This window comes from Homo sapiens, chromosome X (assembly GCF_000001405.40).
Source record: "Homo sapiens chromosome X, GRCh38.p14 Primary Assembly".
Lineage (NCBI taxonomy): Eukaryota > Metazoa > Chordata > Mammalia > Primates > Hominidae > Homo > Homo sapiens.
In genome coordinates, this window is record NC_000023.11 from 19,728,382 (window position 1) to 19,744,880 (window position 16,499).

A 16,499-nucleotide genomic window follows, 5' to 3' on the forward strand; every position below is an offset into this window, starting at 1 on the left:
AAGTGAATACACATCTCACCACCTGCCCAACCTTGTGCAATCAAGCTGAGTAAAGACTGGCAGAAACCCATGCTGCCATGCAGTAGGTGAGAATGGGTGGTTTACCAAAGACAGAAACATTATTTTAACTTCATTACTCAACAAAATCACCATGGGGCATTCTCAGCAAAGAATTCTTTGAAGCTCTCCAGAGGCTTCTGACTGGTCATGTGGGAACTTGATTTGTTCAACAAATGTTTGTCAGCTGTAGGAGCTAGAATGGGCTGATGGTACACAGACTGGACCCCAATATTTCTTCCTGGGAACGTTGGGGAGGGTTTGCAAAGAGAGAAGTGGGATGCTTAAGCTTTTCAACATTTCCAAAAGCTTAATAACCAAATGAGGGCTCACAGGTTAAAATGCTTTGAGGACTCTATATAAACAGTACCATGACCCTGAACTGGAGAACTAGTTATGTTCTGATGAAGATAGGAACAAAAGCTTTTAGAAACCATGCCCAGCTGAAGACATACTAGAAACTTCTCAACCTTTCAACTTGCAGATGAAGAAATCGATGCTTAAAAAGGTGAAATAACCTTCCCAACATTGATAATGGCTGATAGAGCTGAGAATTATTCAGATGAAGATAATTCCAGTGAGGGTGTCTGAATCATCCTGGGCAGAAGTCATGGGGAGATAAAGGCACAGAAATGCTTTTCCAGCCTCAAGGAGATAACAGTCTGATTCCAAGCCACTGAAAACAGGCAGGATATTTGTAAACTGTTACTAAGTCTTGCTGGTTACCCCCAGGCCCACTTGCCTCTGGCCACAGAATCTTAGGGTTGAAGGGGAGGCCGTCCAGGCCTGTGTGGTTTCGTTTTCTTTGTTTCAGTACAAAGCTGACACTCATCAGCTCTAATAAATGATCACTTTCCATTTTCCACTTCAACTTGGGCTTTTGGCAGAATGAGTTCATACATCAATGTGAATGGATCGATACAGTTCATAATTTATGAACATGTGGAAGGAGAGAGACTGATCCTACAAAATCCCCAGCTGATGCTTACCTCTCTTCCTTCTTGCTGCCTAGGTTTGGTCATTTTTAAATTTATGATCACCTCCACCTGAGAGGATCAGCAGGAAGTGAGAAAAGTGAAATCACATCCTATATAAGCCTTTCTAATAAAAAGGTTTAGAGTTAAACTGCAAAAGCATTTCTGTGGGTCATTCCTGGATTTCAATGGTCCATTTTATTCCCATCAACTCTGTGAAAAGGTAACTAAGAGCTAATGACACACACTTAAATATACCCACACCCTAAGGGCCCACTCCAGAATGGGATGGTCCTTAGAAAGTATGGAAGAGAAGGATGGAGAGAGAGTCAGAGGAAGAAAGGAACAGAGGAAAGAAGGAAGAAGGGAGAGAAGGAGGGAGGAAAGGAGTCTCTTCAACATTAATGTGAATTGCACATGAGTTCTGTGCAAGAAGGGCAAGAGCTACAGGGCCAAAGCTTAGGAGGGAACATGTAAAGTTTTTAAAGTATATGTATACGTATGAAATAGAAACAGGATTTTCATTTCTAGTGTATGCTGGTTTTCCCATCCCTAACCACACAGTGCCAGACCCATCAGTAACTGAGCGATTTTTTTTTTCCTTTTTGTACATAGTTTCAACTGCCTTACCTTTTATCTCAATGATGTAGTCAAAAGTAAATTACAAAGGAAGCTAATTTCTTCAAAAAGAAATAAACTACTTCTAGTGATATTATCAAAGAGCTGCTTTAAAGCTTTTTTTTAAAAAAGGTCAAATATAAAACAACTGGTATCATTTTTTCCCTAAACAATATTTAAAAAAAATAACTATTAAGCACTTTGAGCAGCCAAGTTGGGAGAATCACTAGAGGCTAGGAGTTTAAGACCAGCCTGGGCAACATAGCAGAACTCTATTTCCATAAAAGAAATAACTATTAAGCAGCACGCTGTGTTCATTTGTTTGCTTTAATCTCTCAAATAATGTGGGCTAGCAAAGGGGTAAAATAATTAAAGGGAAAACTCAGTGGCAAACTATCTGGGAATTTTTATTTTCCTTTGTAAGGAATGACAATACCAAAGAATCCATCCAAGTGGGCCCTAGGGAGAAAAGAAGGGGGCAGAGAGGAAAAAGAAGCAAGAAGAGACTAAGGGTGGGAGGGGAGAAAAGAGCTTCTCAGGCCACCCCCACAGGGATTGTCACCTCCCTGCTCTAGTGTTACAGAATCTTCAACAAGCAAGCTGCAGGTGGTTAGAGAGATAAATTTTACCTAAATTGAAATCTTAGAACAATACTAATCATTAATCATTCATAATACTAGGTTCCTGACAGGCAAAACTGATGCATAATCACATAGTCCAAAATTAACTTTCCCTCCCTGGTCCTGATGAAAGTGATGAGGAATCAAATATCAGAGAAGGAAAAGCCCAGAAATGAAGGAAAAGCTAGGTCTGGCCCATGTACTCCAACAAAAAGGGAAGAGTACACATCTATATAGAAAATAAACTGAACTCTATACACTTTCATTTATTTTATTTTATTTTATTTATTTGTTTATTTTTTTGGTGAGACGGAGATTTACTCTGGTTGCCCAGGCTGGAGTGCAATGGCGCAATCTCAGCTCACTGCACCCTCCGCCTCCCAGGTTCAAGCGATTCTCCTGCCTCAGCCTCCCGAGTAGCTGGGATTACAGGCATGTGTCACCACGCCCGGCTAATTTTGTATTTCTAGTAGAGACGGGGTTTCACCATGTTGCCCAGGCTGATCTCGAACTCCTGACCTCAGGTAATCCGCCCGCCTCGGCCTCCCAAAGTGCTGGGATTACAGGCGTGAGCCACTGCGCCCGGCCTACACTTTCATTTATAAAACCTTGGGCAAAAGGGTAAAATCAAATATAGATTAAAATGTTCACATGAAATTGAAACCTTCCCTTGTCTTGTATACATTCTCGCACTCGCCATCGCATGTTACACAAGTGAATGTGAAAATTTTAGGACCCTTCTCTTTGAGCACAGTGTTACCCTTCTAACTTAGCTCCACCTTCAATCTCATTACTCAAGATCTAGTTGCAATTTCCTCCTCTGAAACTATTTCACCTTCTCTCTCTCTAGTAAACTGCCTGTGGTCAGGCCAAGACCTAGGTTTAGTACTTATTCTAGGATCCACTCTTAAAACAGATGTTTAATAAGTCTCCTCTCTCCCTCGGTACTCAGAAACCAAAGACAATTTCTCTGAATCACAGAATTTCAACAGCTTCCCCTTAACCATGTAACTTAATAAGTTAGTTCTCCCTCTGGTAGTTTGCCTTGAAGTAACTTGTTTTTCAAAAGGATTAGGGTATATGAGTACAAGCATATACTTCATTCAACAATTAAAGTGAGCTCCAAGATGAATAAGATGTGGTTTCTTTCCTTCAAGCGCCTTATAATCTAGTAAAGAAAATAAAAACCTAAACATGCACAACACTTGCGGAAGAATAAAAATGCATTAATAGAATGAAATGCAGCCCCAAATATATAAAAAAATTCATTTAAGATCAGATCACTAAGATCAGATTACAAATCATTAAGATCAGATGACTAAGGTTTTCCTTTTTTCATTTAATATACTGTCATAGTTGAAAAACCAAACAAAAACAGTTGTTTTCATAATATGAACTAATGAAAGTTAGCTTTTGATTTTTTTTGAGGTTTGCACATGTCCACTTTTTTAAGTTTTCTTTTCAATTGACGCATAATAATTGTACATATTTATGGGGTAGAGTGTGATGTTATGATCCATGTATACATTGTATAATGATCATGTAAGGGTATTTAGCTTATCCATCGCCTCAAATATTTATCATTTCTTTGTAGTGAAAACTTCAAAATCTTCTGTTTATTTTGAAATATACAATATAACACTGTTAACAGCTGCATATATATACATATATAATCATCCCTCAGTATTCCCGGCAGATTGGTTCCAGGACCCTTAGCGCATCCCAAAATCCACACATCCTTAAGTCTCGCAATTGGCTCTGTGGAACTCAAGCACGGGAAAAATCGGCCCTCTGTATACACAGGTTTGGCATCCCACAAATGCTGTATTATCTATCTGCATTTGGCTGAAAAAAATCTACATATAAGTGGACCTGTGCAGTTCAAAGCTGTGTTGTTCAAGGGTCAACTGTATATATAAAATTCCTTAATTTGGATAAAAATCCCTACACACACACACACACACACACACACACACACACACACACAGCGTTCTATCCAAGCCAAGGAATTTTTGTTTCTAAAATATCATTTGTTCAAATACAGCATTTTATAATTTCCACTTATCCACCTTCTGAAAACTAGTGACTGATAGGTACTAATAATTTTCTAAATATAAAAGAGGAACTTTTTTTAATTAGCAAGAGTGTTCCACAAGGGCTATTGTAAAGAAATCTTCAAAAGTTAAATTCCTCTACGTACCAGCAATACAAAAAATATGAGGGGAAAGATCCTATTTACAAAAGCCAACAATAACCACTATCTATCTGGGAATAACGTCATCAACAAGCAAGACTGCACAAATAAAACTGTAACACTTGACTCAACAGAGTGACATCCCATGTCACTGGCTGACTAGAATAAGCTGTTTAGAATTCAGAAGGGGATAGATGTTTTAATTTACAAGAATTAGCCTACTGTGATGTTTGGGGAGGAGAGGTGGGGGAGAAAAGGTTTTCACTTATATACTTGTATATAAAGTTGGTTTATGCAACAATGCAAAGCTTTAAACAAAAATGTTAGAAAAATGTTAATTCTTCTAAAAGTGACTTATAATTTGAATGAAATTAAAATTTTAACTTGATGACATGATTTTAAAATAAATGAGAGTAACTAAATCCTTTTTGAAAATGAAGGGTGATAGGAAGGCTGAAAGCTTGCCATACAATATATTAAAATATATTATAAAGCCATAATAGTTAACCATATTAAGAATGGTAAAACAAATTAATGGTATAGAATTGAAAGCCCAAAGACTTTCATATATATAATAATATTATATGATAAATGAGGTATCATACAATCACTGGAAAGGGCTATTCAATAAATGGTCCTGGAAAAGTGGCTATTTCAAAATAAAAATCAATTTGTATACTAACCTCATACTACACATCAAAATTCTATACAGATTAAAATTTTGAAGTAAAAAATGAAGCCAGTATAAAAAAAGGAGATAAGCTAGGTGATAATTTATTCAGAGAAATCACAAAAGAAAGCATCAATATACCAATCTACATAAAAATTTACTATTTCTGTGCATCAAAATCAATCGTAAACAAAATGAAAAGCAAACAAATTGGGAAGCAAAATTTGCCATGAATGACAAAGGAATAGTACACCAACCAGTAAAAAAAAAAATAAGGACCTCAATATAAAGTGCAAAGATTATTAACAAATGACGGAAGAAAAAATGTTCAAGCACTCGATTAATCTGAGAAATTCAAGCTTAGAACACTAAGCAGCACTCTCCCCACTTCAGTAGTGAGACAGATCAGTGCAAGCTTTCAGGAAGTCAATTTGATAATGAATCCAAGTACCATAAAATATACACACACTTTTGTCCAGTAATTCCACATCTGAGAAATCTTTCCTAAAGAAATCATCAGAGCTGTGGATAAAGATTTATGAGCAAAAATAGCCAACGCAGTTACTGACAACGGCAAGAAAAACTGGAAACATAAATGGATTCTTTCCTTTCTAGCAGAGGCTCTTTCTACGAAGCACAGAATTTAGAATATAAGAGGTTTGGCTTTTGATTTACAGAGAATCTCATTTTTTTCTCAAGAAATGAACAATAGGATGCCACAGCCAGTTCTCTACCCTTCTCAAATCGATTATCTAATATTTGGGTCACCCTTAGCAAAACAGTGTCTTTTTGATCCCTCAGACCTACTATCTCCTAGGCAACTGATTGAATAAAGAAAAATATAAAGCTTTGCTGAGAAATATATAATTTTAAAGACTTGAATAAATGGAATGACACATCTTGTCCCTCAGCTGTGGGAAGGAGGTTAGTGGTAGGGGACATAAAAGAGAAAGAGGCAGACAGACAGACATAGCATTTTAACCCCAATTTGTGTTGTATTTTTTAATAGCTTTATTGAGATATAATTTACATACCATAAAATTTACCCATTTCAAGTGTACAATTAAATGGATTTATGTATCTGCAGGATTGTACAGCCATGACAGCAGTGTAATTTTAGAACATTTCTATCACCCCAAAAAGAAACTTCACGCCCACCAAAAATCACTTTCCATTCCCACCTTCAGCTTTAGGCAAACACTAATCTACTTTCTATCTCTAGGGATTTGCTTATTCCGCACGTTCATATCAATGGAATCATACAATATGCGGTCTTTTGTGACTGGCTTCTTTCACTTAGCATAATGTTTTCAAGGTTCATCCATATATGAGGACTTCATTCCTTCTTACGATACTCCATTTTGTGTATAGACCACATTTTGTTCAGCCATTCATCCACTGGTGGACATTTGGGTTGTTGCCACTGTTTGGCTATTATGAATAATGCTGCTATGAACATTCATGTACAGTTATGTGTGGACATATATGTTTTCATTTTTCTAGAGTCTGGAATACTGGGTCATATGGGTGACTGTTCTCCAAAGTGGCTGTACCATTTTACATTTCCACCAGCAGTGGGTGAGTTGTTCATACTATTCCCTTACAATCCTTTTAATTTCTCTTAAGATTGGTAGTGATGTTCGCGCTTTAACTCCTCATATAGTAACTGAAATCTTCTCTCCTTTTTTCTTGATCAGTGTAGATAAGGTTTATCAAGTTTGTTGATCATTTCTAAGGATCAACTATTTGTTTCATTGATTTTCTATAGTTTTTCGATTCTCTATTTCATTTATTTCCACTGTAACCTTTATCATTTCCTTCTTTCTGCTTGCTTTGAGTTTAGCTTGCTTTTCTTTTCTAGTTTCTTAAAGTAGAAAGTAGAAAGGCTATTAATTTGAGATCTGTCTTCTTTTTGTACATAGGCATTTGCAGCTGTCAGTTTCACTTGAAACACTGCTTTAGCCACAGGCAGTACATTTTTGTATGTCATGTTTTCATTTTCATTAATTTCAAAGTATTTTAAAATTTCCCTTGTGAATTCTTCTTTGGCTCATTGGTTATTTAGGAGCATACTGCTTAATTTCTATGTAATTGTGAATTTCCCCAATTTCCTTCTATTGTTGATTTCTAATTTAATTCCATTGTGATTGGAGAATATACTTCGTATGATTTTAATCCTTCTAAATTTACTGAGACTCCTTTTTTTTGGCGGGGGGGGGGGGTGGGGGGGACGGATTCTTGCTCAGTTGCCCAGGCTGGAGTGCAGCGGCGCGATCTCGGCTCACTGCAAGCTCCGCCTCCCGGGTTCACGCCATTCTCCTGCCTCAGACTTTCAAGTAGCTGGGACTACGGGAGCCCGCCACCATGACCGGCTAATTTTTTTGTGTTTTTAATAAAGACGGGGTTTCACTGTGTTAGCCAGGATGGTCTCAATCTCCTGACCTTGTGATCCACCCGCCTCGGCCTCCCAAAGTGCTGGAATTATAGGCGTGAGCCACCGCACCTGGCCACTGAGACTTCTTTTACAGCCTAGCATATGGTCCATCCTGGAGAAGGTGCCATGTGCATGTGATCACAGGTTGTTTCATGAAAACACGTTTTATTATTTTCCATAAATCTCTAATTCCTTCCCAATGCTCTGGGGTCTTACTAGCAGTTTACTACTTTTAATAGCAATTACTACTGTATTCAGTGAGTGACACCCTACCCCACTTCACTCTATTGCCTCCCTATCCCAAAACCTATTTTCTTTACTCATTTTTAATCTTCACAATTGCCCTGAAGGAATTAACAAGAGCATTTCCTTGTTTTACAAATGGGAAACCTGGAAACACAGGGGGAATCTGCAACTTGTCTAAAGTGCTGCAGAAGCTGTGGAGGTGCAGCAGGAGTGGTCTGGGTCCTCCCAACAGCCATCCTCCCTGCAATAAGGTCCTGCTGCCACTGAACCTATTCAGGTCTCCAGAGAAACACAAATGCGACAAGCAGGCTAGTCCTCCTCAAATGCTCTTTTTCATGCACAGGCACATGCAGAGGAAGCTTCTGGCTGGTCTCTCTTTCCCTTCCTGGTTGAAACAATGAGGGCAGCCCACCTGGCACTGCAGCTGGGCCCGCTGTTGGCCTAATCATGAGTTAGGGAGGTGGGCCATGAAATGTCCTCATTGTTTGGGTACAACAGTCTTAAGGCTTCAGAAGCACAAAAAGCCAAGAATCCAAAGACTAAGCTGAGGCTGCACATGGCATCAGAGAGACCAGGCTGTGATGACAGATCAACAGATATAATTAGAAGAAAATGCCCCTTTTCCAGAGCTTACTGCAAGTGAATATAGCTGCTGTCCCCATATAATGCAACAAATGCAACCAGCACCTAAATATCATCTACCTCTAATTACTTTTTTTTTTTTTTTTTTGAGACGGGTTCTCGCTCTGTCACCCAGGCTGGAGTGCAGTGGTGCGATTTCAGCTCACTGCAACCTTCACTTCCGAGGCTCAGACAATCCTCCCACCTCAGCCTCCCAAGTGGCTGGGACTACATGCACACGCTGCCATGCCCGGCTAATTTTTGTATTTTTTATAGAGACTATAAAACATCTCACCATGTTGCCCCGGCTGGTCTTGAACTCCTGGGCTTAAGAGATCCTCCAGCTTTGCCCTCCCAAAGTGTTGGGATTACAGGTGTAAGTCATCACACCTGGCCTGATTACCTTTCATTAATCTAGCAGTTCCCTACCCAGAAAAACTTCCCTTTGGAAAGGAGGCTCCCACGTGGGGCTTAGCCAAGGCCAGAGCCAAGGAGTGTCCTTTTCAATTCCCTGGGCAGAGGCTCCATGTTCGTTCGCCTGGGATGTCAATAAGTGGGTCCCTCTGTAACCTCTGTAACTCTGTGATTCCAGAATTCTAAAAAGGCAGGCTATGTGGTTTTTCCTCACAACCCCACATGTGGATTTATTACTTGAACTCAAATGCCAGCCTGTTTCACTAGTAGGGAGAGAAGAAGGCTCTTCTTTATAAACGTTCAGTGTTTTAATGGCATCGGGAAAAGCTAAGACTTCTGTCTTTCAGTCAAAGCAAGTAGAGAAGGCAATGAGACTATGTTGACTATGTAGAGACTGTCATCATAATAAAAACCACCTCTGGAATCGCAGGTTCCATCGTGATCCAAGTCCCAGGTAGACCTGAACACCCTGGCCTCACCAGTTGCTAGGTTGGGTCCCCTCAGCCTGCTTTTCATGCCAAAGCCCAGACTAGGACTTCCACTCATGTGTCTAAGCCTCATTCTTAGATACAAGGACCCAAGAAATGATCAGAGGGAAAATTCCCTTTCAGCTTGTCACTTGAAAAACTACCAAGAGGACTGGCTTTCAAGTTTCAGATTCAAAGAATGTTCTCCTAGCATCATCTAACTCATGTTTTTTGACAGCGCAGGCTTAAGAAGCCTCGCCAGTCATTTCTCTGAGTGCCAGCACCACCATCTCCACTCACTTACTCAAACATTTCCCATGAGAGGTGGAACCTGAAGATTATCTTGGGGATGCTTACAGAGCTCCTTGTCCTGTATCTTAAAGCCCAACATATCCCAAAGTGGAGTCTTAACTAGTATCCAATAACATGCAGTTCCATGATCAAAGATAAGCAGGTCTCCTTACCATAGGCCATCTGAGAGCCTGTACTATGCTAATGTGCTTGTCAGTCTCCAAGATGGTGTTAGTGCTGCAGCTGAAATTTGACGAGAGAGGCAATTTTCTCTCCCCGCTTGTCTGCCTGTCTCTCCCCGCATCCCTCCTTTGTGGAATAGTCAGAAGGGCTATAATTCCATACAACACACACTGAGAAATGCTGGGCTGGTTTCTATCTGAGCATGTCACGCTTGGTGCAAGGTCTCGTCACTAGTAGATGGAAATATACAATAGGACCCACTTTCACGACATGCCTCATACAAACGTGGGCACACTAAGATCCAACTCAGGCCTTGTGAAAATAAGCACCATATACAATGGTGCAATGTGATTGAACCCAAAGCTATCCTCAGAGCCTAGTGTACTGTGTGGAGCTTGCACAGTTCCAGCATTCTATACTGTGTGAATTATAAACTCCTCTGCAACATGAGCAAACTTCAGTGGGCACCGATTATACGGACTCTGACTTTTACAAAGGTACTTAAGGATTCATGTCAGCAATGCAAAAAAAAAAAAAAAAAAAAAAGAAGTCAGACTTGGCCAGGCACAGTGGCTCACGCCTGTAATCCCAGCACTTTGGGAGGCCGAGGCTGGGGGATGACTTGAGGTCAGGAGTTCAAGACCAGCCTGACCAACATGGCGAAATCCCGTCTCTACTAAAAATACAAAAATTGGCCGGGCATGGTGGCAGGTGCCTGTAGTCCCAGCTACTCAGGAGGCTGAGGCAGGAGAATGGCTTGAACCCGGGAGGCGAAAGTTGCAGTGAGCCGAGATCATGCCACTGTACTCCAGCCTAGGGGATAGAGCGAGACTCTGCCTCCAAGAAAAAAAAAAAAAAAAAAAAAAAAAGACTTATATGTGCCTTATGCAGAGAGTTTGGAACTCTGAATGCATTATTCCCATAGAAGCAAAGTTATAAATGGTGATTAAGTTCCCAGACTGACCCACAATGCAGCTAAAATAAGTCATATCTGCAATATTATCAACAACTAAAAACTGAAAAATAATGAGAATAAAAGACATTTTTATTTATCAAAAATACTTATGCTCAGTGACATACCAAGCGGGGGCAGTCTGTGCCCAGGCAAGAAGGGGGCTGCCTGTAGAGAATTCACAAACAATAATGAAACAACAATGAAGCCAAAAAGTTAGTTGGCTTTTTACTTTCGCCACCTGCTGACAATTGAAAACAACATTGGTAATAAAATATTGCTCCTTTGAGGAAAAATGGGTTCAACAAAAAGTGAAGAAGAAGTAGATAAGGGTACTTGGAGCTATTAGGCAGGAGATTTTGGCATACATACCTACAGGGATTTCAGTGTGATTCTTTATTTTGTCCAAATTAATATCTATATCTAGAGTCATGCCTATGGGAGTCCTTTTTTTTTTTTAATCCTCATTAACAATAATCCTGGTCCATAGGGGTATCACAGATAGAACAAGGATCAGGACACAGATTATATGAGTTCAAAGAGCAATTCTTAGGCGAAAAAGCAAAAGGGCTAAAAAAATCCATAAGTAATGTGAGAAGCCGTGGGTCTGGGATGGAACTGCACAAATAGTGAACACTGAGTCAGAGGAATCAAAGGCATCCTCCATCAAGATTCTCCCAAGGAGAAGGAAAAGGTGGGCAGAAAGAGGAGTTTCCTAGGAGAGCCACCAGGTGGAGCCACCACCACAAACCCACTTCATGGCTTGTCCTCTGGGTGGATTTGGGCGGACACCAGCAGGAGTATGGCGGGAGTCTTAAACCCATGACTAACCCATGGGAGACTCATTAGTGTTAATGCCTTGAAATCAGAAGACACAGAGATAGAAAGGAGATTAAACATAACAGAAAAAAAAATCTAAAAACCGATTTTATCAATGACCCACACATAATCGCAACATGATGGCTATACCCTCCTATGTAGTTCTTACCATGCATTTCACCACCCCTCACTCTAGGCTCAATAGGTTCAGAAAATAACATGAAAAAGGGTAACACACACTCCAACATCAATTGCTGGTGCTAACAACGCAGTGTCCCAATAAAACTTGCCAGAAATGCAGTCAGGGATCAGTTAGTTTAAAAGACTTCTTTAAAGGCTCTTGACTCCAGAGCTTTTGAGAATGAAGGCCCACTGGAAAATAAGACTATAGATGCGTATACAGATACATTCACACAGACGTATATATTACTGAATGACTATGTATCATATCTATCCCCATTCACTGCCAGATCGCCAGATTTTCATTTCCCCTGGGAAAGACCAGCTCAGGTGATAGCCAAGAGCTTCTACACAACAGTAATGTCTTCTGTTAACTCTTATTCTATCTGTCCATAAACACCAGCTCCTTAAGTCAAATAAACAGGCAATCTTGAAACTCAAAGAAAAGTCTGACCCCAAATGGCACATTTTCAGATTCCCAGTTAACTGGCAAGAATTCACATTTATTTCTCCAATAGAAAATTTGAAAGAAACAAAGTCTCATCTCTACAAACAAACCCCCAGATCTCACATTTACCTTAAACAACAAACCACTGGCAAACCAAAGAGGTTGACATTTTCTTTACTAAGGACATACTTCTTTCCATCCTTTGTTAACAGTTTCATTTCTGCCAAAGAGCTCACGGCCTATCAAGATCCACGCCACCGCCTTGGCGCCATGAGAAGCATTCCAGGCCCTCACACTAAAAGCTAGAAAAAACGTTTCCCCTTCAGGGGAAGTGGGGAAAGGACGGGCAGTCACTTAGATCTGTTTAGGGCTTGGAATGACCAGTGCTGAAACTATGAGAAGAAAGGTAAACATTAAGCAACATTCTTCTGACAGCTACAGGTAGCAGACCAAACTGGAGAGCCCTTCCATGTGGCAAACACGAGGTCCATATTAATGTGGAAGAACTTCTGCACTAACTTTTAAAGCAACAGTGTGTCACCAGAGGAAGAGCAGCCGTTGATCCCTCTGTTAAGGAAAACTTTTGAATGGAACCCGTCTGAAGGATTAAACACACCAGAAATGAACCCACAGAGCAATGTTCTACAATCAGTCATACCCACATATCAATTCAGAGAGCAACCCTCCCCCATCTTAACTTGAATCTCATGAGACAGACGATCTCACCTCGTAGCATCAGAGCTAGACCTGTTACAAATAACATCTTTTAAACCGTCAGATCTTTCAGCATTAATCTCTGGAAGGGGCAGTAAAATGCAAATGCATAAAAAACCTTAAATAAAGATGGTAAAAGCAGTTTATCTTTGGGAAGGCAGATGCCAAAGTAGCAGAGCGACTTAAAAAGGTAACTATAAAATACATTTTGTATCAGGAGAGCATAATAATATAGCAAAAAATAGTAAATGTGCAAAATACAATAGAGACTTACCAAACACTGAATTCATGATAAACTGGAAATAGAAACAAGGACATATAAAGCCAACCAGAAACCCACGGAGTGGCTTCACATTCAGAATGACAGAAGTAAATACAAGACACATCCCCACCTTGCCATCAAAATGATATAAGAAACGTGCAGCACTTTCTCAACGTTTCCCAAGGGATACAACAGACTGAGTTACTTGCAGGCAGGACTGGCTGGTGTTTTTCCAGTCTTTATCTGCCCCATCACCAAGCACAAGGGCAGATGCATAGTGGGCATGCACTAAACATGTACTATTGAATGTTCATGGGTGTCTACCAAAAAGTGAGGAAGGAACAATGTCCAAAATTCCAGGCAACAGGAGAGGTTCAGAGAGAGGCAGAGATACATCTTCTCTGCATGCACTGTTAACAGTGCAAACGAGAACCCTGAGATGGAACCTGGTCCTCACACGGGCCAGCAGGGTATTGATGACAGCCTGGATACTTAACTGATCACATGAATAAAGTTAGCCAGGAAATCCTTCTAAGGATCAAATAATTTTTTCTTTTTTTTGTTTTTTGTTTTGAGATAGGGTCTCACTCTGGCACCCAGGCTGGAGTGCAGTGGCGCTATCACAGCTCACTGCAGCCCCGACCTTCTGGGCTTAAGTGATTCTCCCACCTCAGCCTCTTGAGTAGCTAAGACTACAGGTGCATGCCACCACACCCAGCTAATTGTTTTATTTTTTTTAGAGATGGGGTCTTGCTATGTTGCCCAGGCTGGTCTTGAGCTCCTGGACTCAAGCAATCCTCTCACCTCAGCCTTCCAGAGTGCTGGGATTACAGGAATGAGTCACTGTGTCCAGCTTGATTTTTTTATTTCATTTTTAATTCAAGTAGGTAAGAGTCTATATTCAAATGGACAAAAATCCACTGTTCATTTTCAAGAACCTATTTAGGATATATGCTAACTGTTCAAACTTCCGTTTTATTCAATTTTTCTTCTAAACTCAACATTTGAATGCGTTTTTTTTGTTTGTTTGTTTGTTTGTTTTTTGAGATGGAGTTTCACTCTTGTTGCCCAGGCTGGAGTGGCACAATCTCGGCATTTGAATGCTTTTTTAAAAAAGTCTCTATATATCAATGCTCCAATTTAGGAGGGCCCATCATTCTCTTTTATGGGTTTAATGATAGAAGAAACAAAAGAATCAATCATTCTTTGAAGAAAACATACAACTCTTTTCTGTCTGGTTCATCAAGAGAATGACATTTGGCTCCAAGTAAAGTTTTCACATTTTCTGGCTTAACTCATCGATATACTGGAGTCTGGGATAACTTCAGAACATACAACATCCATGCTGCAAGTTTAAATGAAAAACGACTTCTTATTCCTCAGGAAAGGCTTGTTTTAAACAGGAAGCTCTTTCACTGTGACTCAGGTAAGGACCACAGAAATGGCCAGAAGTGAGTGCAGACACAAGTGCCCCTAAGGTTCTAATGCCAGAATGTGTAGCCAGTGGCTGCCAAGTCAGCTGGGAGGATGTACTTTCTCTCTCTCAATTCCAGTCACATCATCTTCTCAAATGAAAAGCCAGCCAGTCACAGTGGCTTATACCTGTAATCCCAGTGCTCTGGGAGGCTGGGGTAGGAGGCTTGCTTGAGCCCAGGCGTTCAAGACTAGCTAGGCAACATGGCAAAACCCCAGCTCTACGAAAAATCAGTAAATTAGCCAGGTGTGGTAGCTCGTACCTTGTAGTCCCAGCTACTCAGGAGGCTGAGGTGGGAGGATCACCTGAGCCTGGGGAGGTCGAGGCTGCAGTGAGCCATGATCGCGCCACTGCACTCCAGCCTGGATGTCAGAGTGAGAGCCTGGGTGTCAGAGTGAGACCCTGTTTCCAAAAAATAAAAAAGAAAGAAAGAAAGAAAGAAAAAAAAAGCCCATGGAGTCATTCCAGTACCCCCTAAATCAACTCTGCAGACGTTTACAAACGTTAAAGCTGAAAAGTGAAACTAATCAGTCCCCAAACTAAGGTTTCCATAGCCCTGGCTTTTTCTCAAGGCTATGAATAGCTTCCTTCAAACCCAAGATGTCTTCTGACCTTATGCAGGTGTCTGGGGAGGGTGAGCTCATCCCACAACGTGAGGGACTACTACCTGTTTGCAGTTGCTGCAAAGTGAGGCATGTCACAAGACGCAAAAACAGCTGGACACAATTGGGCAAACTTCTTCAGCTAGGACTATCTCAAGTTCAGGACCCAATGAAGTGGTTCAGTTTCAGACTCATGATAGAAATAGATGTCAATCTTTCATTATTAATCCAACTTCAAGCATGTATCAAATGATAAGGTCCATATACAGAAAACAGTCATCTCATCTTTGATCAAGTTCAAGGAAGAGAACTTGTGTTCATTCTATTAAATTCTTACAAGGGTCCAAGACTGAATCACAAGGTGGACTCAACTCATATCCTCTAAGATCCCATGTTAGCCAATCAAAGCAGGCTGTTAATAAATCCTGAAAGCAACTTCCTTCCCTAATAGCCACAACAACAGTAATAGACCAAAACATCCGAAAGGTTGCTGGAGACAAAGCTCGATGATGGAAACAAAGGGGAAGGAGGCCCCTTCAGTCACTTATGGTAACTCATAAAACTTTAAAAATTAGTTGGACCGAAGTGTTTACAAGTAACTAGAATCATCCCACAGATTTAGCCTCTGATCCTTGTTTTAAGGGGGGAAAAAAGTGTTTTTTTCATTGATTTTGGGTGGGAAAAAAATGTAGCTTTTGAGCTCAGTACAATGAACTATTTATCTGGCCTGACAAGGCCAATCAATCTACCCCCGCTGTTTATTATAAGGGGTAGCAGAATACTGGTAGTCTTGACTGGTGGGGGAGGGCCAGAGGCAGCCCTGGGCCTGGTACACAATGCTTCCCTTCAGCTGGAAATTTATGTTACGCCCAGGTGACCCAGGAGGTCAGGGTGAAGCCTCGGACAGAATGAAGATGATTTGTTATAGACTTCATATTTACAGAATGCCTCCATGTACTCAGGTCCCACAACCACCGGCAGATTCCACATATAAAATGCCTCAGAATGAAAGGTTGGCCATAACCAGGCTGCAGGTCCAAGGCAGAAAGCTTTCAAAATGGAATGTAAGGCAGTAAGCCATCCCTCTGCATTCCAATTTTTGGTGAATGAAAAATTCCATAGGGGAACTCAGAGGCCAGATTTTCAGTGGTGAAGAGATAATCATCTGAAAAATTCTATTCCTTCGTTGATTTAAAGTTCTCAGGTAATTTTACTAAACTCATCCAAATAGTTACCTCAATTCCTTACCTTAATTAATT

General features: G+C 40.5%; 1 protein-coding gene across 27 annotated transcripts in view, besides 3 other annotated features; it reads right to left on the bottom strand.

Annotated features, from left to right (window-relative positions):
- SH3KBP1 (SH3 domain containing kinase binding protein 1) overlaps positions 1-16,499 on the bottom strand; it is a 353,624-nt gene that overhangs the window by 194,405 nt on the left and 142,720 nt on the right. The gene's annotated exons all lie outside the window — the stretch shown is intronic.
- Positions 840-939: an enhancer, noted in NCBI's record as "active region_29464". NCBI's record gives its function as "activates an Ori minimal core promoter by ATAC-STARR-seq in GM12878 lymphoblastoid cells {active_cell/tissue: GM12878}" and the evidence as "EXISTENCE:reporter gene assay evidence [ECO:0000049][PMID:35858748]".
- Positions 7,988-8,077: an enhancer, noted in NCBI's record as "active region_29465". NCBI's record gives its function as "activates an Ori minimal core promoter by ATAC-STARR-seq in GM12878 lymphoblastoid cells {active_cell/tissue: GM12878}" and the evidence as "EXISTENCE:reporter gene assay evidence [ECO:0000049][PMID:35858748]".
- Positions 14,968-15,117: an enhancer, noted in NCBI's record as "active region_29466". NCBI's record gives its function as "activates an Ori minimal core promoter by ATAC-STARR-seq in GM12878 lymphoblastoid cells {active_cell/tissue: GM12878}" and the evidence as "EXISTENCE:reporter gene assay evidence [ECO:0000049][PMID:35858748]".